This window comes from Homo sapiens, chromosome 18 (genome assembly GCF_000001405.40).
Source record: "Homo sapiens chromosome 18, GRCh38.p14 Primary Assembly".
Classification (NCBI taxonomy): domain Eukaryota; kingdom Metazoa; phylum Chordata; class Mammalia; order Primates; family Hominidae; genus Homo; species Homo sapiens.
In genome coordinates this window covers 15,310,471-15,334,143 of record NC_000018.10, presented here as the reverse complement: position 1 = coordinate 15,334,143, position 23,673 = coordinate 15,310,471, and the positions used below count along the sequence as shown (strand labels likewise).

Genomic DNA, 23,673 nt, shown 5'->3' with positions numbered 1-23,673 from the left:
TTTTTTTTTTTTTTTTTTTTTTTTTTTGTATTTTACTAGAGACAGTATAACCTGTTGATGTGGGAAATTTTACCACGTGGCCCAGGCTGTTGTCCAACTCCTGAGCTCAGGCAATGCGACAGCCTCGGCCTCCCAAAGTGCTAGGATTACAGGTGTGAGCCACCGTGCCTGGCTGCAAATGTGTTTTTAGGTGTTTATCCACCTTATTTGAAAACTATATCCACACCAAAACTGACGCATGAATATATATATAGCAGCTTTGTTTATAATTCCCGAAACTGGAAGAAACCAAGAGGTCTCATAATTGATGAATGGAAAAAAAAAACTGTGATACGTCATATAAAGGAATATTACTTCCTAAAAAAGTAAATGATCTGGCGAAAGATTCAGTGAGGAGGTTTAATAGGTGAAGCACGTGGGCATTATTTGGACCAGTCAAAGTATTCTGCATGTTACCACAACTGTGGAATCATGATAGTATGCATTTGCGTTCTTTTTTTTTTTTTTTTTTTTTGAGACGGAGTCTGCTCTGTCGGCCAGGCTGGAGTGCAGTGGCACGATCTCGGCTCACTGCAAGCTCTGCAACCCGGATTCACGCCATTCTCACGCCTCAGCCTCCCGAGTAGCTGGGACTACAGGTGCCTGCCACCACGCCCGGCTAATTTTGTTTTTGTATTTTTAGTAGAGACGGGGTTTCACCGTGTAGCCAGGATGGTCTCCATGTCCTGCCCTTGTGATCTGCCCACCTCGGCCTCCCAAAGTGCTGGGATTACAGGCGTGAGCCACTGCACCCGGCCTGCATTTGTTAAGAAACAAAGAATCTCACAGCACAAAGAGTGTCACTTAATATATGTAAATTTTAAAAAAACAACAACAACAAAGTAGGTGTTCTGGGGATCCTGGGATGGAATGCAGAATGTGATAGAAAATCTAAAGTACTACAAATGTATAAAGCCACTTCACTCTAGGGAGTGGGAAAAACGTGCTGACATAAGCATCTTAGAAAATGGATGGGCCTTCTGTGGTGGCTCACACCTGTAATCCCAGCACTTTGGGAGGCCAAGGTGGGCAGATCACCTGAGGCTGGGAGTTTGAGACCAGCCTGGCCAAAATGGTGAAACCCCATCTCTACTAAAAAGACAAAAATTAGCTGGGCATGATGGCGGGTGCCTGTAATCCCAGCTACTCAGGAGGCTGAGGCAGGAAAATCACTTGAACCTGGGAAGTAGAGGTTGCAGTGAGCCGAGATCACGCCACTGCACTCCAGCCTCAGCCTGGGCAAGAAGAGCAAAACTCCATCTTAAAAAAGAAAAAGAAAAAGAAAAAGAAACAAAGAAAATGCATGAAGACTGAAAGGAAGAGAAACTGCAAACAACTCATGTGATCTGGTTGGTATAGCTGTGTCCTACAGGAAATGGGATAGCGATTCTGATATTGATAGAGAATAAATGTATATTGGAACTAGACAGTTAAGCAAATGGATGACAAATGACAGGAGCCTGGTTTCTCACTATGAAAGTGGGAGGTTACATGTAAGCAAGGGGAGAAGGCCAGAATGATCATGTGATAAAAGAATTGAGTCGTAGACATCAGTATGAACTAACACTTATACATATTACATTTAGAAATATTTATAGTTATGTGTATACACAGCTTTGTATACACACATTTATTTCTTTGCTCTGTAAACTAAGACGGTCTAGAACGAATGATATCCCAGCAGAAATGAGCATATCTAACACTCAAGTCTTCAATTCTTGGGTTTTTGTTCATGATCCGGGATCCAGGAGTTGGGCCCTGGGGCTGGGCATTGTGTAGCCTCCGGGATGGTGCTGAGCATCCATTCCCACCCTCCTGCAGCTGGGGAACCATCCCTTGACTTGGGCCCCCTGGAGGCAAGAACATGGTCACCCACTTTAATCACATGGTCCCTATCACATAATCAGAGGGTGCTGTGAGTTTTAACTCTTCAAGCCAGATGTGTAAACAATTCGACATAGATAAGATATAGTGACTAGAAGTCTTTTATTTATTTATTTTGAGAGAGAGTCTCTGTTGCCCAGGCTTGGAGTGCAGCGGCACAAACAATCAAACAATAACCAAAATCCAGAAGACTGAAAAGGTCAAATGCTGTCAAGGATGGGGAGCAACAGGACCTCTCATTCCTTGTTTGTGGCACAATCAGTTTACTGTACCCACGAACTCCCAGGCCCAAGTGATCCTGCCACAATCAATCTCCCAAGTAGCTGGGGCCACAGGCATGCACCACCATGCCTGGCTGATTGGTTTTATTTTTATAGAGATAAAGTTTCCCTGTGTTGTCTAAGGTGGTCTCAAACTCCTGGGATCAAGTGATCCTCCTATCTCGGTCTCCCAAAGTGCTGTAAGTACAGACATGAGGTCCTGCACCCAGCCTGGAAGTCTTTATAGATAAGTTCAATTTAACTGTTTCTCCATCTGCTCCACTCAGCCGAGTTTCCCTCTCAGTCCAAGGGTGAGAACTGCAGCTCAGCCCCATCCAGGATGGCTGCAGATGACCCAGCGCCACTGCCATACTCCAGACGCTGGTCAACGAGGAAGGGATCCTGAGGCCTGGCAGCGGGCGCTCTCAGGAACCTTGAAGCCCTCTAAACGGGACCCGCCATCCGTGCCTGTCAGAACTGTTGCCGCTACCTGCACTTGGCACACAGGCAAATATGGCCAAGCAACCCCAAACTCCCCTCTTCCCCTCTGGGCCCAGGCGGCGCTGAACCTGCTGCTCAGCCGTATCCTGGTGACTGCACAGTGCCCAGAGCCTGCAAACCAGCGCTCAGGGCGCGAGCCAAGGAAGAGCAGGGCCTAGAGTGGGAGGGCGTGTGCCACACGGCTACCCTTAGGCCGTTGGGCCCAGCCCTGCAGCCTCTACCATGGGCTCAGCTGCAGCTGGCATTTGAAGGTGGCAGCAGCGGTGGCAACCCCAGAACCTGTCCGCGCCACCAGCAGGCGAACCCCAGGGTCGGACACCGCCACTGCGCCTAAGTCAGGCAGTGGGACCTCAGTTGCCGGATCGTGGGAACCTGCCGCAAAGCCTCGTCGCCGCAGCTGTACAGGGCCCAGTGGTCGCAAGCCTGCGCTGCCAGCGCGAGCCGAGGAAGAGCAGAGCCCCGGGTGGAAGGGCGATGTACTCGGCGATGCTCAGCGGTCTGGGCCCAGCCCTATAGCCTCTACCATGGGCTCAGCTGCAGCTGCCACCTGAACACGGCACGCGGCAGGAGAGGCTGCAACCCTGACCCTGCCAGCGCCACCAGCCACGCGGATACTTGGGCCAGAAGCCTCCAGGGCGCCTCAGTCAGGGGTTGGGTCCCTGGCTGCAGGAGGCCGGGAACCGACACTCAGCGCCACCCTGGAGGCTGCACGATGCCCAGCGCCAGGGCCCAGCTCCTGGATCTCAGGTTGAGGAGGGGCCAGGGGCGGCTCTGTCAAGCAGGCTATGTGGCAGGGAGCCCCCCACGTTCCGCTGCAAGGAGCCCCGCCAGCCCGATAGCGCCTCAGTGGCAGGTGCCACCTGCACGCCGTGCTGGGCGAAGCGCAGCCAGGGCGGTTTCCTGCCTCGCGTGTCTCCCAGGTCTGCTGAGTTGCGCATGTGCTGTTGCCTAACGGTTCTGCTCAGCTGCCTAACGGTTTTGGGCAGCCATTTTCTCCCGGGAGAGGCTGGAGTGTCCAAAAGCTTGGCCGACTGAGATTTCTAGTCGTGTCAGGGCGGGTGCAGGGACTGAAGAAGGGCAAGGGCGAGCGGCGGGGACTGGGGAAGGGCGAGTGGCGGGGACTGGGGAAGGGCGAGCAGCGGGAGGCACGGGCTCTCTCTAGCAGGTGGCTGCAGCCATGGAGAGGCTCTGTGCCACCGCTGTCAAGGGCCAGACGGGCCCAGAGCGCCCAAGCCCCTTCAGTCAGCTGTTCTACACCAACAACGACTCTTACGTGATTCACCATGGGGATCTCAGGAAGATCCACAAAGCTGCCTCCCGGGCCAAGCCTGGAAGCTGGAGAGGATGATGAAGAAGACGACAATGGACCTGAACATAAGAGATGCGAAGAAGAGGTACCAGGCCCTGCCTGAGCCGGGGCTGCAGGAGGAGGAGGAGGCTGTGGGAGGATCGCCCCTTCAGAGTGGGGGCTGGGGGTCCTGGGGACGAGGGGAGCAGGTGGAGGAGTGGCGGGCAGCGGGGCGGCCGTCCTGGCCCCCGAGGTCTTGATCTTCTTCCCGGGAAGGCCCCCAGGCCTTGGATGGGGCGCCCTGCAGGGCGGAGGGCACAGGCCACCTTAAAATCAACCCCAAACTTTAGTTAGCTGCTTTCTCCTTCACTCCCACTTCCTCTCATAGAGCACTGTGTAGAGACTTTTAAAGTGATTTAACTTACAAAATTAAGTACATACAGGGTTTTACTTTTAATGTACAGGTTTTAAAAGATAATGTTAGATACATTATGAAATGGTGCATAATGAAATAATTCCATAATATATTAACTTCTTGGCTAAAAATTTTTTGGATAAAGTCCAGTATCCATTTCAATATCAATGAATGTCTATGTAAATATATTCTTTGCTGAGGGACCTTAGAAGGTAACTTTGAGGTGGGAAGATGGTTTATGTTTTCGAATTTAAGAAGACTCATTTTTCTGAAGATGCAAGTTCTTTATCAGTTTTACATAAACCAAATAAAGTTATCAACGTTTTAACATTTTTAAAATTACACACGCTGTCTTTTACTATTGTGATGACATTTAACAAATTTTGTAACGGAGTAGAAAAGTCTTGCCCTTCTAGATTTCAAAATGTGCTATTAATTTGCACAAAATGGGCCATGGCCAGGCGCGGTGGATCATGCCTGTAATCCCAGCACTTTGGGAGGCCGAGGTGGGTGGATCACGAGGTCAGGAGATCAAGACCATCCTGGCTAACACGGTCTCTACTAAAAATACAAAAAATTAGCCGGGCGTGGTGGGGGGCGCCTGTAGTCCCAGCTACTTGGGAGGCTGTCAGTAGAAATGGTGTGAACCTGGAAGGCAGAGCTTGGAGTGAGCCGAGATCGCACCACTGCACTCCAGCCTGGGTGACAGAGTGAGACTCCGTCTCAAAATAATAATAAATAAATAAATAAATAAAATTTGAAAAAAAAAAAAAAAAAAAAAGGGCCAGACGTGGTGGCTCATGCCTGTAGTCCCAGCACTTCGGGTGGCCGAGGCGGGTGGATCACCTGAGGTCAGGAGTTCAAGACTAGCCTGGCCAATATAGTGAAACCCCAACTCTACAAAAATACAAAAATTAGCCAGGCATGATGTCCGGAGCCTGTAAGCCCATCTACTCGGGAGGCTGAGGAGGGAGAATCGCTTGAAACTGGGAGGCAGAGGTTGCAGTGAGCTGAGATCCCATCACTGCACTCCAGCCTGGGCGACAGTGAGACTCTGTCTCAAAAATAAATAAATGAATCACAAATTATTTGATAACAGCTGAAAAGACAGGTAAATGAATACAACACAGTAGAAAATCCAGAAACACCCAAATATCTAAGAATTCAGAATTTGATAATGCTCACACTTTATACTAGTAGGGAAAGAATTAGTTTCATAAGTGAAATGCCTGCTTTTTGGAGAAAACTAGATTTTTATGCCACAAAGTAAATTTCTGACGGAATATACAAAATGATAAAAGCACCAGAAGAAAACATAAATGCCTATTTACACAGGTACATTTTTATGTTGACAACACCTTTCTAAGAAGCTCAGAAGCAAGCAGTCTGAAGGATAATTAAGCAAAACAAAATTAAATTAAACTGTAATGAGAAAAAATAAAAGGCAGCATACTTGTAAAATATTTACTACACATGTATGTGGGTGTGTGTATACATATTAGATTTTTAAATCATCATTTTATAGATAATTCACTTAAATCAACAAAAAAACCCTCTAATTTAAAATTGAGCAATTTAAATTAGAGATCTAAATTGCAGATCTAAAAATAGTACTTTGCTTCTAATTTAAAATTTGGAAAGTATTTTCTTAAGATCTGTAAGTGACCTATGCACGCAGAAAACAATATTTAGTGTTCCTGGTTACAGAAGGCATTTAAGTTAAAAGAGGAATCAAATACTGCTTTCTATCTACAAAGTTTGTGAGGATAAAGAGCAGTGATATTTATACTGCTGTTTAAAGTTTAAGTTGCAGATACCTTTTCAAATAGACAATTTGGTGGTAAGTACCATATTATTAAGAAGAATCCATATAATGACTTTTATAAATACATTTCAGTGAATTTACAGCATGGGATAATATGTGACCACTAAAGGTAGAAATATGTAGAGAAGTAGGTGACATTTGAAAATGTATTTTGGTGTATCAAGTGAGGGTAAAGTTCACTTTGATTATACATACACACAGACTACAGTCTTGCGTTATCTGAAGTTGTGTATGAAATATGATAACATTTGTTATTTGAGGGCATTTGTTTTAATATAAAATGTTTTTCCTTTTTATTATCTTTGATTTCCACATTGAGCATGTACAATGCTATTAGAAAAAGTTTATTATTAATGAAATAATTTTTGGGAAGAGCAGGGATATAATTTTGCACCAATAAAAATAATTTCTCACTTTCCATATTTTAATTATTATTTTTTGTGGATTAGTATATTCTGTGAACTTTTAACATCTTCAAAAGACAGTCTTTTTACCTGTGCTTGTTGATTTACATATACATCTTATTAGGCACATATTTTTATTATATATAGATTTCTTACATATATGTCAATAATTATAGATTAATTAGTGTAGTTTTATTATTAAGAAAATAAAATAGAAAATATAAGTGCTTTATTTATAGCAGTTTTTTTAAGGTATTGAACTTTTCAACTGTATTTATCCTTTTAATCAATTTATCACATGTAAGCTGAATGCCTATTATGTAGAAGATACATTAACTCTCAAGATCCTTTCATCCTTAAAAATTTCGCATTTACCTGCTCAGCCTTAGCAAAGTGAGAGATTTAAAGTTGGAGTACTAGGAATGAATCTCAATTGAAGCTTTTCCTCTCATCTTTAAAACAAAAACACTTCTGAAGTAAGAAACTAGTAAAAGATAACTACCAACCACGATTTTGGAAATTTATAACAGCTTTAAATAGTAATATTAATCATTGGAAATACCTAATTTACATGCATTCTATAAATTTAAATATGAATTTACATACATTCTGTAAATCTAAACATGGAATAAAATGAGCCATACCTACTTGAATCCCAAGTTTTCTTTGGCTTGAAGTTTTAAAAATATTAAAGAAGTACTTTGTTTTAACAGTTTGTTTTTATTTCAACTCTCCTTTTGTATAGCACTCTTAAAAGCTAAAATTTCTTTAAGTGTTAATCCTATGACTACAACTGCCATCATCCTGTTGTATATACCATATTCCACTTCATGGAAGGCACGGTGAATGGTGTGATGCCTCCTTATTTATGTACCAATAAAAGATCGTTTAAATTTCTGCAAAATATACTTGTAACAAAGAATGACTTATAAGTGGCATTTCAATGTCAGAGATGTTAAAATATGAGAAATAGAGTATCTTAGAATTATTAAAATAGTTTTATCTCTAACCTTTAAAACATACCACAAAGTAGGCATAATTGTACCATTTAACTTAAAATGTTTTCTTTGTTAAGTAGTAGAAATAATTACAATATCTATCAATTACTGAGCTGTTACATGTGCTAGGAATTCTTCGAAATACATTGCACAGATTCTCATGAGGCATCACAGTGATGTCCTGTGAGATAACTGCTGTATTCATCTTCACTTTATTGATGAGAAAATTGAGGCACAGAAAGGTTAAGTGATAGCTAGAAGGTGAAAGACTTTAAAGTAATATTCAAGCCCAAGTTGAACTGAATCCAAAGGCCAAGCTCTTTCTATTCAAATAGGCCACTCTTTCATTAATGTAGTGAGTAATAACAGTGAATGAATGTTGTAGTTTCTTCAGGAGAATATTAAATATTTGTTTTGAAGGCAGAGAAAGAGCATGGTATTTAATGTTGACAATTACATAAATCATTCTATGTTTTGAGACAGTGGACTAAACTTTCCTTAAAAGGCTTCTCACTCTCGTAGGACTGCTCTACACTGGGCCTGTGCCAATGGCCATGCAGAAGTAGTAACACTTCTGGCAGATAGAAAGTACCAGCTTGACGTCCTTGATGGTGAAAACAGGACAACTCTGATGAAGGTAAATGGTAGCCAGTTCTTTCAGCAGGAGATGGATGTGGTTTAAATACGTAGAATAAAAATGAATTTATCTCATTGAAATATAACTAGTTTGTGAAACCTGTGGAATATTTATTTATATTTCCTATAATTTATAATTTACTTCTTGCTTTAATACTGACAGGCTCTGCAATGCCAGAGGGAGGCTTGTGCAAATATTCTCATAGATTCTGGTGCTGATCCAAATATTGTAGGTGTGTATGGCAACACAGCTGTCCATTATGCTGTTAACAGTGAGAATTTGTCAGTGGTGGCAAAATTGCTGTCCTGTGGTGCAGACATTGAATTGAAGAACAAGGTAGACATTAACCAATGTTATTTTCAAAATATTTGAAATCCGTTTGTTTTAACATTAACATATGTAAATTGTTTTATATTTGGAAGCTCAAACATTCCTATTTTTCTATGAAAATAGTTTGACAAAACTTAATTGTCTAGGATTTTGCTTTAAATATTAATATTTTTACAAGAACTATTAGTATGGCTTTTCTGTGCATTATGATAAATATTTAAATTTGTTAAAGGTAAAACATTTTCAAATATTCTTTCCCACCCAAGTTTTTTTTTTCTTTCCAGTTAGTGTAAAACTACAAGAAAGTAAAATTTGCCTGCATAAATTGAGTCAACATGTAAAATTTAGGAGACATGCAGAAATCTGGATTTCCTCTTAAAGGATTGAATCTTGAGCCCGTATAACTGTTTGGTATACTATGAAGACATTCTAGTTTTACATAAAGCATATGTTTCCAGTTTGCTACTGTGCCCACCTAGTTACATCACTTATTCAACTTACCTATTTTGCCTCTGTAAATATTTCAGTTATCAATTCCTCTCTCATAGTACATTTTGGTAAAGATTTCAAGTTATTGAAGACAGTTTATAGGTGTTTATAATATGTAGTTTATATTTTACATTAATTCATTAATAATGGGGTTGTCTTCTAGAATTTAGAATATTTTTTAAATGATGATTTTTCTTCATATAAACCATAAATAATCATCTTCTATTAGAAGGCCTTTAAGCCTTTTTAGATTAATCATGGTTATATTTGAATAGGTTATGCATATTGCAGAAAAAATATTATATCTTTCTCCACAGAATTGTCCCTTAAAAGTCAAGTGATTTAGTGGCTTCTATTTTGCTAAGCCACATACATGAGTTAGAACTTTCATTAATAAGCCATTTTATTCATACTTCTGATATTTTGCCAAAAAATAGTATCAATTACAATAGAAACCAGAATAAAAATGGATTATTGAATTTTAAGAAGTAGATATGCATTAGGATCCTAGGAGTATCATTATAATAGAGAATAAACTTTTATACTGAATTTCTTTTCTTTTTTTCTTTTTCTTTTTTTTTTGAGACAGAGCCTTGCTCTGTCACCAGGCTGGAGTGCAGTGGTGTGATCTCGGCTCACTGCAATCTTTACCTCCCTGGTTCAAGCGATTCTCCTGCCTCAGCCTCCTGAGTAGCTGGGACACAGGCATGTGCCACCACGCCCAGCTAAATTTTTTGTATTTTTAGCAGAGATGGGCTTTCACCATGTTGACCACGATGGTCTCGATCTCCTGACCTTGTGATCTGCCCGCCTTGGCCTCTCAAAGTGCTGGGATTACAGGCATGAACCACTTTGCCTGGCCTTTTATACTGAATTTCTAATAGCTGAGATAAAATCCTATTGTCTGGTAATAGGATAAACCCCATGGACCATTTAAGAATAAGCAATCAAAGTTCATTTGAAGCCAATCTCTTTTAATTTAGAGCCACTTCCTTAGTGACTCATTTAGAGCAGGAGTGCCTGACATTGGCATTTGGAATCTTGGGATCATTGATAGAAGAGAATCAAGTGAGTCTGTATCACCCAGAGGAAACCTCCATTTTTGGGGGGAAGCTTTCAAAACTGCATCCCTGAAATTCTAATTTGTCAAATGTTAATGTTTGCCACAAAAATATACTGTCAAATAAGAATTAGGTAAAGTTCAATTCATTTCTTGAATAATGAACATTTAATTCACAGTTTTATAACATTTCTTGAACATAGATAATGGTGGAATCTATTGGGGTACAGTGCTTCTGGTAAGGTAATTATTCTTTGGAATAAAGTTGAAGAAACACTGTTCTAGAGGTAATAATTTAGATTACTAATTTAGTAAAAAATAAAGTATTTACTACTATGTCTTAGGGTTTAAGGATAGAGAGGTAAAAGATACAGCCCCTGCCCTCAAGAAGCTCTTGGTTTACATGGGAAACAATAAAATCATTACAATGTAATGATTTTTGGAGATAACCAGAGTTAATGTGGTGATGCAGAGGCTGAATGTTTACAAGAGAAGGTGCAGTGCATGGGAAAGCACAGAAAAGTGAGAAAGAAGGGATTGCTATTGATTTACTTTCCATTGTTTAAGTTCATAGGATATTATATAAGGTATTCAATTGAGCTGAGAAATATGTAATTTCATGAATTATAAATTGTTTTTGCTGTTTTACAGGCTGGCCACACACCACTTTTATTGGCCATAAGGAAAAGAAGTGAGCAAATTGTGGAATTTTTACTGACAAAAAATGCAAATGCAATTGCAGTTGATAAGTTTAAATGGTATAGTAGTTTTTTTATTAAAAAACACTTGAGTAGTGTGCTAGAGTAATAACACTCAAGTCAGAAATATTAAATTAATAACATTTACTTAAAATTATTAGATTATACAGAAAAATACCAACACAAATTATCAGTTAGGAAGAAAAGCAATTATTTGGACTGGTCAACACAAAGAACAGTATACAGTAGGATTTTCTTCTTTTATTATATTGACTGATTCTTATTTGTAATCTGATGTTTTTGGTTGAATTATCTTCTATTAGCTAAAGTGGTTCTGTATTAGTTTTAAGAAGTATAAATTTTTAGTTTACTTTATAATTCAATATTGAATTATTAACACCTTTATAGTATTTTACTAACTTCTGTTTTTCATACACTTTTTAAAAATGCAATATTTTCTGGGTATGGTAGCTGTTGTCTGTTATCCCAGCACTTTGGGAGGCCAAGTGGGTAGATCACCTGAGGCCAGGAGTTCAAGACCAGCCTAGCCAACATGGTAAAACCCCATCTCAATGAAAAATATAAAAATTAGCCAACCATTGTGGCACAAGCCTGTAGTCCCAGGTACTCAGGACAATATTATTCCTAATATTGTTTTAAGTCTTCAGATTGCTCTCACTTGTCCAACTTCTAGCTAATTTTGAAGTACAAAATATTATATCAGACTAAGGAGGAAATAGATAATTCTTCACTTAAAACTTTGCCTCTTTTAGATTAGTGAACAGAACATATTTTCTTGCCCCTCAGTGGACTTTATGTTAGCCAATTCTACTATGCCATATCCCAGTGAGACATGAGTCTTTTCACCCCTTCCTTTTAGCCTTGGTCATGATTTACAAGGATAAACACTTGAGCACTCAAGATACTTAACATTTGTTAATACATGTAAATGGTTAATTCTATACTGACAGGCACATATTAAATTGGTTCCTTCCTAATAATGAAGTTATCTCTGTTATTTTAGCACAGCCCTCATGCTTGCCATATGTCATGGATCATCAGAGATAGTTGGCATGGTTCTTCAGCAAAATGTTGACATCTGTGCTGAAGCTACATGTGGAATGATTGCAGAACGTTATGCTGTTGCTTGTGGATTTAATCTCTAAGTGTTTACATTTAAAGGCTAGGTGAGATTTTATAGTTTGTTTCAGGTAGTTTTTGAATGACAGTGAGTTAGTTCACTTCATCAGCCAGAAACTAGGCAAAAAGCTAGACTAGTTAGAAAGATTAATGGCTCCAGGATTCTTTATTTTAGGGCTTTAGGGACGCTAATGTTGTCTACTTGATTTGAAGTATAACCCCTATGCATGGGATAAATATAATGTCAAAATTTTGGTTTTTCTAATTAGTTATTTGGGTCTCAAAATGTCCACTTTAGGCAGAAAACCTGATAGTGTCCCCAGGGGGTTGTCTTCCATACCTTCATTCTTGAATTTTTAAAAAGAATCTGAACCTAAGTCCAAGGAAGACATTCCTTTTGTACAAGTCAGAAGGATTGGGGGGTGGGAAATGGCCATTCTCTTCATTTTGCTGTTTCCATTGATTCTGTTGCTGCATCGTTGCCATTGAAACTGCTCCTGCAGTCTGGTAATGATTGACCTTTGTGACCAGGATGCCCTTACTAACACAGATTCCTCAGTCTTCATGGTATAGACTTCCAAGTTATGACATGTTTTTAAAGTTCACGTACATATTCTCAGCCATTGTTTCCAAAGTACCAGCACCCCACTCTGGCAGCTAGAACTTTTAGCTTTAGCCACACACATAGTGAGCAAATGGACCCTTCTCCTCACACTCAAAACCTGATGTGAAACCCACATCTTAGCCTGGACATGGCCTAGACCTTCATGGTAAGTTATCCTTTGAGTGGCTTTTTTCTATTTTCTCTAGCCAATATTAGTTGTGGTAGTTTGAAACTGTAAGTCAGGTTGAAATAATGTTACAGGAAGAAATTAGAGATCCATTTTGTCTTTGTTACCAGATCTATATCCCTGGCCCTTTATATCCTGTGTAGCACCATTTTGTAGGTAGTGGAAGGTCTCATCTTATTCTATAAAATCCCATGTCATCTTTCCCAAGTTGTAGTGGGTTCCAACTTGTGGTTGTCCCCTCACGTGATTCTTTTTTCCTAAAAGTAAAAATCTCCCATGCTACTTACATCTCCACCTCGAGTTTCTAAAATATTTTCAAATGCTGCATCACCATGAAGCCATTCAATAGACTTCACTAAATCTCAAGTAAGTTGGTTAGATTTAACAGAGCTAAGCCTCATCCATCACTGATCAGTCTTCACATATAAAAGTAAGGATTTGTGCTGGCTTCAGTGGTACATATAGTAAAATTAAGAACGTTGAGAAGATCAGCATGGTCCCCGCACAAGGATGACATAGAAATCTGTAAGGTGTTGCATATTTCTTGCAGTCCCCAAAAGGACATTTTACTACTTTCTAACTAGCTCCAAGGAAATGGTGTGAGTCAAAGCAAAATGGGTGACACCCAGTATTGCAATTGTGATTTTCATACAAGAAATTATTTACGTAAGGTGATCTATGAAATGAGTTGTGGTAACACATAGGATCTTGTGTGCAATATTTTGTTAGTAGGGATCTCAGAAATGAGAAAATACCAACTTGCATCTTCTTTGTGGAACTTACAAAAAATAAAGGTAGGGTTTTGTCTTCCACAGCAGCTGGAAATGAACATAGTGACTAAGCATCATTCTAACAAAGATTTGTTGGTTCAGAGTTTAAGGAGGTAGATGAAGAGTAGTAGTAGTCCAAGCCAGATGCTGACATCTATTAGTTTTCTGCCCTTGGTGTGACTGATGAGCTCAGTAATAGAGTATAATTAGGTTATCTGATTTAATGATTTAATATATTTATAAATAAATTTCATTACAAAATATAAAATAGCTTAGATGCTCTGAATTACAAGCCACAAAGAATAGAACATCTAATATCCAAAAGTAGGAATTAATAACAGAAAATTGCAATATTTGAATATTATAACCTATGAAGAAAAACATTTTTTTGTTTTTGTTTTTTTTTGTAATTTAATTTTTGTTGACACATGGTCTCCCTATGTTGCCCAGGCTGGTCTTGAACTTCTGGATTCAAGCAATCCTCCTGTCTCAGCATCCAAAAGTGCTTGCCTCACAAGCACGAGCCACTGCACCAGGCCAATATATTGGGTTTTATTGGGAATTTTAAATTGTTTCAGCAATAAGTTTCAAGAACAAATAATTTTTTTGCTTCATTTTTTATTTTAAGCATTTTTAAAATGTTATCTTGTTAAATCTTTATAATAACCTAGTGAAATAAGGCCCTAAAATCCTCATTTTTAGAAGACATTGAGTCTAAGAGAAGCAACTTGTTCAAGAAAAAATACCTGTTGGTAGCCATGCTAGGACTTATTCCGAGTTAAGGACATTTTCCATATGTCAAGCTAACTTTAGTTAATTTACTGAGTTATACTGCCCTCACTTCATGAGTGTTTTATCTTTCTTTCTTCTTTAATTAGAAGCTTAATAAGTTCATAGAGCTTACAAACTTAAAGTCTATGGAAAAAGTAATGTTCTGATGTTAGTTCTAATATTGTCTGAAATACTCTAAGAATGTAATAAATTTGGTAAATTTTTTTATATCAATGTTAAAATAGTGATTTTATTTATTTCATTTTTATACATAGCATTCATCAACAACTTTTGGAATATAAACAAAAGATATCTAAAAATTCTCAAAATAGTAATCCAGGTAAGACCTCTGATAGTAAACTACTCTTGGTGGTGCTACCATAAGATTATAGGAGTGTTAATCACAAAAGAGCTATTAGAAAAGCAATGTGTAAGTAGCATGTGTTTACATATAGACCTATATGTGTTATTTTATATACAAAGCTTTGATTTAATTTTTTAGTTTATAATTCAGAATTCATTAAGAATTTAGTTATAGGTAGTTTATAATCTCAAAAATATTATCTGAAAAAATATTTGTTTAATAGTGGTCCCTAATATCCTATATAATACTTTTGTATAAATAAGTAAAACAATTTTTAAGTTTATCTGTTGTATGTTTCCTCAACTGTCATAAAAATTTATGCTTGTTATAAAATGTATAATCCTTGGTGTGATTGATGAGCTCAGTAATAGGGGATTATCAGCTTATCCAATTTAATGAATTATTATATTTATAAATAAATTTTATTACAAATTATAAAATAGCTTAGGTGCCTTGAATTACAAGCCACAAATAATAGAACTTCTAATAATGAAAAGTAGGAATTAATAACAGAAAACTGCAACATTTGAATATTATAACCTATAAAGGAACACAGTTAAACTGTTAAATAAACAAATATTTGTTTATTAAACATAAACAAACATATAAAATGTTTATTTGTTAAATAAACAAATACATAATTATTTGTTTGTTTATTAAACATAAACATATAAAATGTTTATTTGTTAAATAAACAAATAAATAATTTATTTGTTTGTTTCTTTATTGTAGAGACATGGTCTCCTTATGTTGCCCAGGCTGGTCTTGAATTTCTGGGCTTTATTTAATTTTTACAATAAATGATTTGCATTTAGAAAATTAGAATTAATTACAGTTGAGTATTGAGCAACATGAGAGTTAGGGTGCTGATCCCCCCATGCAGCTGAAAATCTGCTTTATAGGAAAATCTGTTTCTTTTGACTCTTCCAAAACTCTACAACATTCTACTGTTGACCTGGAGCCTGAAAAAAGGTGAAAGCATAAGCAGTCAATTAACCCATAGTTTCTATTTTATATGTACTATATACTGTATTCTTAGAATAAAGTGAGCTGGAGAAAAGAAACTGTTATAAAGAGGAAGAAATATATTCGCTATTTATTAGATGGAAGTGAATTATTATACATAAAGGACTTCATTCTCATTGCCTTTATGTTGAGTAGGCTGATAAGGAGGAGGCAGAGGCGAGATTTGTCTTAGTATCTTGCAGTGACAAAGGAAAAGAAAAAATCTGTCTATTAGTGGGCTCCTAGAGTGAGAACCCTTATTCAAAGATCAACTGTGTGGCATAGTGACTTTCGTCACTAAAAAAGTAACTATCTTTAGAATTTGGAACTCAATAATACTTTTCTTGCACCATAAATGAATGTCAATAAGAATTAACATAACTTAGCAAGGGTGCATCAGTACCAATAGGAGATTATTTTTCAAAGATACCTACTGAGTGCAGAAGTCAGAAAAGCAATTCTTTGTTGAGAAGCACAGGTTATGTTACAAAGTCTTGTACCAACAAGGTCTCACTATTATCAACTTCATTCCCTCTAAGTTGAAACCAAATAAGATATATTTACTTCATTAGAACAAGATGTGTTGTTCTATCTGCTGGATAATTAGTGTGTTAATAGTAATTTTGTTACAACAAGTTACTCTGTTCCTACTAGCCAAAATATTATCATTATAAATATACAACTAGCTCAACTCTAGGCTCAACGAATTATAATAAAAGTGGAAAAAATTTTCACAATAGCAAAAGTGCTACTGTGATACCTAAATGTGACACAATACATTGTACAATATGAACTGTATGAACACATCTTTAATTTATTACATATTTATCAAAGGACTTCTGTAAGTTAGATTTTGCAAGTTGCAGGAGACCAACATGGAATACACATAGTCTGGGTCTTTAAGGTGCTCATAATACAATAGAGCTGTCGCTATTGAATTTCTTCATTTTTCCAACAGAATTTCCTAACTATGTTTTCTATTTGTTTATCCACTTGTCCACTTAACAAATAACTGTCAGGTATCTTTAAGGTACTAAGCATCTTTCTTGTTATTATCATTGTCATTTTTTATTATTTACTACTTTATTAAGGTACTAAGCATTTTTCTTGTTATTATCATCTTTTTTATTATTTACTACTTTATTTAGTGCTTCCTCTGTGCCAGAACCCCTTTGGGAGCTTATAATTATCACTTATTATGTCATTACCATATTCAGTATGTGTCAGACATTTTATATCCAACGTGAAGAATTAAAGCTTTAAAAAGTTTGGTAGTGTCCAGGAGCGGTGACTCACTCCTGTAATCCTAGCACTTTGGAAGGCCAAAGCGGGCGGATTGCTTGAGCACAGGAGTTTGGGACCACCCTGACTAACATGGTGAAATCCCATCTCTACTAAATACAAAAAATTAGCTGGGCCTGGGTGGCATGCATATGTAATACCAGCTACATGGGAGGCTGAGGTAGGAGAATTTCATGAACCCAGGAGGCGGAGGTTGCAGTGATCTGCTGAGATCGTGCCACTGCACTCCAGCCTGGGCAACAGAGCGAGGCTCTTGTCTCAAAAAAAAAAAACAAAAAAAAAGGAGAAAACAAAAGTTTGGTAGTATTTAAGGAAAGCAAGCTGAATGAGTAGAAGTTTTCCAGGTAAAGAGTCAGAAGGATGATATTTAGCAGAAGGAAAATTTAACCAGACTGTGTGTTTGGCAGAAGGAACATCTGAAGGAACACTTGATGAGGCTGCACCCTTGGCAGAAAGAACACCTGACACGGCTGAAAGCTTGGTGGAAAGAACACCTGATGAATAGGATACAGTGAATTCCTCTTCAAAGATTTTAGCCTGTAAATATCCTTTAAAATTCAAGAGGGGGAAGATTAAGTACAATGAGTTCTGAGTTCCTCATCAAAGAACAAATATGTCAGTATGTTCAGCTTCTCTGTTCTTTGTTCTCCGTTTTAAAGTTTAACTTCCTCGTTCGTTATGCCTCCTTGCCCCTAGTTTCATTAAACAACCCCCTTCTAGCCTCTAACACCTGCTTTGTCTTTAGTCATTCTTAGTAACCTGCTCTGTCCTTAGTCATCCTTAGACACCTGCTCTGTAACTGTCTTTCCCACTGAAACTACTCACCCTGCCACTCCAGCTCATACCCCTGCCCTCTTTGAAATAGCCAATCTGAATTGGCTTAGAGTGTGCAGTCCAACCCTATCCAATAGGGAAAAGACACAACAGTAGGGACTAGCTGAGTTAGAAATAAGAACACTTTCCCCTCCCTTGTCTGGTGTGATCTTGCCTTTGCTCCATCTGCAAGACCACTCTTCCATAGAAGTAAATTTGCCTTGCTGTAAAAACTTGTTGCTGGAGTGCTGACGGTTCTTTGCGGCAACGAAAATTATTTTCCACAAATTTGAGGGCCCACCCAGCATTCCCATTCTCCTCTGGGGGAGGGTCCAGTCCTCTCCCTTGAGGAGGCGCACCCCGCTGCCTCGTTGCAGTGGCCATAAAGGTAAGGAATCAAGACTCAACTGGTGCGATTAATAAATCCGGGCTCTCAGCAACGTGGAAAGAAACAGACCAGCAACTTTGGGGAAAGGATCTTCACATACCGTGGCGACCAGGTAACTGTGCACAGACCGAGGTAAGAAATGTCGCAGGGGTGACAAAGTATTTCCTTGGTGGTTGGGATATTCTGGAGGTTGAAAGTGTGTGTGAATGATCACAAGCACTACTGCTTGTGGTGCTCTTTGTGTGGATGATACTAAGCATTATTGCTGTGAGGAGTGAGTGGGTCCTAACTGCGGTTTTTTATTTGAATAAAAAACCTTTGGAGAGGAATTCACTGTATCCTCATAGGGCTCAGGGCAGATCTTGCTGTGGGGTTTATACCATGATGCCAATGCTAAGAGGGACCTAAAATTCCTGGGAGGGAAGCAGCCAGAGTGGATGAAGTGAAAGAAGGGTGCGAGGAGCCTCCAGCAGGTGGGGATAAAGGATAGGGAAGAAATCTCTAGCATGCGGGATTGAGCCTAACCAGGACCTAACATGGGAAAAGACCCAAGTAAGATAGGGAGCAAAAAAGAAGAGGATAGTAACAAAGACATGCCCCTGATAGTCCCCTGGGTCTCATGTTAAAATATTGGAAGGATAATGAGAGTACTAAACATAAGAAAAAGCATTAGAGGATAAAATATTGCTGTTTCATTTGGACCCAAGTTCCCATTTTCAAACACTCAATCTTCTGGCCAAAGTTTGGGCCGATTGAGAATGTAATATGTCAACTTCTAATTCAATATGTTAATGATAAAAATCTGGTTTCTCAAGAAGAACTAGACTATGCTCTTTGTTGGAGACAGGGACCTGTCTTTATTCCCGTAAAGACAACTAGGGAAGAACCCGATCCAGTATCTCAAATTGAAAAGTCAGACGAGCTGACTCCCACACCTAAAGCCAGCACATGGGATCCCCTATACCATTTTGCTCTGCTCAGTGCCTCTGACCCTTCCCCTCGGGCAGCTGCTGCCACCCCATCTCCCACCCCAGATCCTTCTCCTGCTCACGCTGTTACTCCTCCTTACAACTCTAATTCTTGGGAGTTATCATCCCATGAGCCTGTCCCCTGTCAGCTTAAATACCTCTCCCTAAAGGGACTCCATCATGAGGTACAGCAATGTAAAAAGGACGTTCAGAGCTTCCCTTTTCCCTCCACATCTAAAGAGTCGGCCCCAACTCTCTTCCCCTTAAAAGACATGCCACAAGGAGGAGGAGCCATTGTATTTGTGAATGCTCCCTTGACCAGTTCAGAAGTCTGAAGTTTGAAAAAGGAAATTAAGCCATTGTTAGACGACCCTTATGAGGTGGCAGATCAGGTTGATCAATTCTTGGGACCTCAGTTATACACTTTGGTCAAGTTTATGTCCATCCTAGGCATCCTCTTTTCGGAGGAGGAAGGAAGCATGATCTGATCCATAGGGCTGCTATGGCAATTTGGGAATATGAACACACTCCTTGTCAAAACGTTCCTACCACGGACCAAAAATTCCCTGCCCAAGATCCTCGGTGGGATAATAATAAAGCAGCTCACCAAGAAAACATGCAAGACATAAGGGAAATGATAATGAAAGAAACTAGGAAATCAGTACCCTAAATTCAGAATCTCTCTAAAGCATTTGATATATAACAGGAGAGAGATGAGTGGACTATGAAATTCTTAGACAGACTAAAGGAGCAAATGAGAAAATATGCAGGCCTAAATTTGGAAAATCCCCTGGGACAGGGAATGTTAAATCTCCATTTTTGTCACTAAAAGTTGTCCAGATGTCTCTTTTTATTTTTTTGAGATGGAGTCTCTCTCTGTCACACAGGCTGGAGTGCAATGGTGCGATCTTGATTCACTGCAAGCTCCGCCTCCCAGGTTCACTCCATTCTCCTGCCTCAGCCTCCCGAGTAGCTGGAACTACAGGCGCCTACCACCACGCCCAGCAAATTTTTTGTATTTTTAGTAGAGACGGGGTTTCTCCGTGTTAACCAGGATGGTCTCAATCTCCTGACCTCGTGATCCACCCACCTCAGCCTCTCAAAGTGCTGGGATTACAGGCATGAGCCACTGTACCTGGCCAACATTGTCCAGATATTTCAAAAAAGTTACAAAAATTAGAAGATTGGGAAAACTGACTTCAAGTGAACTTCAATGAGACGTGAACCTCAAGTGAAGTGACCTCAAGTGAACCTCAGAGAGACTCAAAAAGTATCTGTGAAGAGAGACGAAGAAAAGCAAAAACAAAAGACAAAACTTATGTTATTCACCTTCCAACAGATGGCTCCAAACCCATGTACCCCTAAACAGAGCTTCCAGTGGGCCAGAAACTGTAAAGGTTCCAAACCCTCCTTTAAAGGACCCAAGCCTCCACTGGGAGGATCAAGGCTCTTGTCTACCAGGCCATCTAAATAGCATGGGGGAGTAAAATCAAAGAATCCCAGAACTGAGAGTGGGGAAGGGCAAGGTAGGCACTACAAATGTGGAAGAACAGGCCACTTCAAGAGAGAATGTCCCAAATTAGAAAAGGAAAAAGAAGCCCTTCCACTCATGGCTTTTGAGGAAGAATAATGGTGTCAGGGGTTCTGTCTCTTTTATCTTGAGTCCCACCAGGAGCCCTTGATAAGTCTAGAAGTGGGACCTAAGCATGAGTTTATAACCTTTTTAGTCAATTCAGGAGTGGCTCGATCCTCTGTTTCCCCCCCCATCTAATATCGCCTGCTCTTCAGAGGAACTTTTGGTTTGTGGGGTAAAGGGAGAAGGATTTAAAGCAAAAATTTTAGAAAACACAGAAGTCAGATACCAGGCTCAATCAGCTCATATTCAGTTTTTGTTAATCCCTAAAGCAGGGACTAATTTACTAGGCAGGGATTTAATGTTGAAGTTAGGCATAGGCCTGCAACTCAGCCCAAGAAGATTCCTCACCTCATTAAAGCTACTCACCACTGCAGATGAAAAATATATTAATTCTAATGTCTGATCCAAAGAAGGAAACTGAGGGAAACTCTGAGTCCCTCCAAGCACATCAAGGTAAAAAACCCCAGGGAAGTAGTAAGGAGGAAACAATACCCCATTCCCCTAGAGGGCAGGATAAAGTTGAAACCTATAATTGAAGGTCTATTACAGATGGGCTTCTTGGGCCCTCTATGTCCCCTTATAACAGCCCAATATTGCCAGCCAAGAAATTAGATGGGTCATATCGGCTGGTACAGGACCTTAGGGCTATTAACCAAATAGTCCAAACTACCCACCCCATTGTCCTCGATCCTTACACCATTCTCAGCAAGATTCCATATAATAATCAATGGTTTACTGTAATAGATTTGAAGGATGCTTTTTGGGTATGTCTCCTGGCTGAAGATAGGCCAGATATATTTGCTTTTGAGTGGGAGGATCCCCATTCAGGTAGAAACAACAATATCGATGGATAGTCTTACCCCAAGGGTTCACAAACTCCCCTAACCTTTTCAGTCAAATTTTAGAACAAGTATTAGAAAAAGTTATCATCCCAAACAAATATGCCTGCTCCAATACGTTGATGATATTCTTATATCTGGTGAAGATATAGAGAAGGTAGCTGGCTTCTCTACACATATTCTCAACCATCTGCAGTTCGAGGGGTTATGAGTCTCAAAAGGAAAGCTTCAGTATGTAGAACCTGAAATTAAATATTTAGACCACTTGATAAGTGCAGAGAAGTGAAGAATAGGGTCTGAACGAGTTGAGGGAATCGTGTCCCTACCCTTGCCTCAAACTTAAACAAGAACTCAGGACATTTTTAGGGTTATTTGGATACTGCTGCTTATGGATTAACTCACATGCACTAAACAGTAAAATTCTATATCCAAAACTTGCCCAGGGGAAGACTGACCATTTCCTGTGGACTTCTGAGGAAGTCGATTAGGTTGAAGAGCTGAAAAAAAGGCTTATAACAGCCCCTCTCTTAGCCTTACCTTCCCTAGAAAAGCCATTCCACCTTTTTGTCAACCTGCATAATGGGGTAGCTTTAGGAGTGCTCACTTAAGAACACGGAGGCCATCGGCAGCCCATGTGGCCTTCCTGTCAAAAGTCTTAGATCCAGTTACTTGTGAGTGGCCTCAATACATCCAATCCATTGTGGCTACAGCACTAATGGTCAAAGAAAGCAGGAAGTTAACCTTTGGAGGAAAATTGACAGTAATAACGCCCCATCAAGTTAGAACTATCTTAAACCAGAAAGCAGGGAGGTGGCTTACTGACTCAAGAATCTTAAAGTGTGAGACTATTCTGTTAGAAAAAGATGATTTAACATTAACCACTGATAATTCCCTTAACCCAGCAGTTTTCCTAATAGGGGATCCAAATATAAAGAGATAGCACACATGTTTAGATTTAACTGATTACCATACAAAGGTCTGACCAGACCTAGGAGAAACTCCCTTCAGGATGGGATGACACTTATTTATAGATGGTTGCTCCCAGGTGATTGAGGCAAAAAGATGCAATGGGTATTCAGTAATTGATAGGGAAACTCTTGAAGAAATTGAGGCAGGAAAATTGCCTAAGTATTGGTCTGCCCAAACTTGTGAGCTGTTTGCACTCAGCTGAGCCTTAAAGTACTTGCAGAACCAGGAAGTAGCCATCTATACCAATTCTAAGTATGCCTTTGGAGTGGCTCATACATTTGGAAAAATTTAGACTGAATGAGGTCTCATTAATAGTAAACGTCAAGATCTTGTTCATAAGGATCTAATCACCTAAGTATTGAATAACCTTCAGTTGCCAGAAGAAATAGTGATTGTCCATGTCCCCAGACACTAGAAAAGTCTTTCTTTTGACAGTCCAGGAAATAGCCTAGCAGATTACATAGGCAAACAGGCTGCCATTTCTTTTAAAACATCTATTTTTCACTGAACTCTTTACCTTCCTCCTCCTACCATAATCTCCATTTTCTCTTCCACGGAAAAGAGAAACTAATAAAAATAGGTGCTAAAGAGAATTCAGAATAAAAATGAATATTGTCAGACCAGAGGGAAATGTTGTTCAAACCCTTTATGAGGGAAAACTTGTCCCAACTGCATCAAGGGACCCACTGGGGGTCCCAAGCCATGTGTGACACAGTTCTGAAAGTTTTTGGGTGTATAGGAATTTATACTCTGGCCAAACAGGTTACAGACAGTTGCTTAGTATGTAAGAAAACTAATAAACAAACTATAAAAAGATTACCCCTTGGGAGAAGGAGTCCAGACTTAAAGTATCCTGATTGATTACACAGAGATGCCTCCAATAGGTCGTCTAAAATATTTACTAGTGACAGTAGATCACCTTACTCACTGGGTCAAAGCTATTCCCTTTTCAAACGTGATGGCAAATGATGTAGTTAAGGCCTTAATTGAAAATATATTGCCCAGGTTTAGGCTAATAGAAAACATTGACTCAGAAAATGGAACCCATTTTGCCTGAAACTATTATATTTGATCCTTGCCTTGTTATAC

At 39.3% G+C, this 23,673-nt stretch overlaps 2 pseudogenes across 1 annotated transcript; both read left to right on the top strand.

Annotated features, from left to right (window-relative positions):
- The first annotated feature begins 3,880 nt into the window (after nt 1-3,880).
- Nucleotides 3,881-20,588, top strand: LOC644669 (ankyrin repeat domain 30B pseudogene; annotated as a pseudogene). Its single transcript, NR_027417.2, has 7 exons — nt 3,881-4,078; nt 8,137-8,251; nt 8,414-8,483; nt 10,782-10,888; nt 14,576-14,640; nt 17,379-18,645; nt 20,028-20,588. The product of NR_027417.2 is annotated as an ankyrin repeat domain 30B pseudogene (transcript).
- On the top strand, nt 13,200-13,304 carry RNU6-721P (RNA, U6 small nuclear 721, pseudogene; annotated as a pseudogene).
- Nucleotides 20,589-23,673: the final 3,085 nt, after the last annotated feature.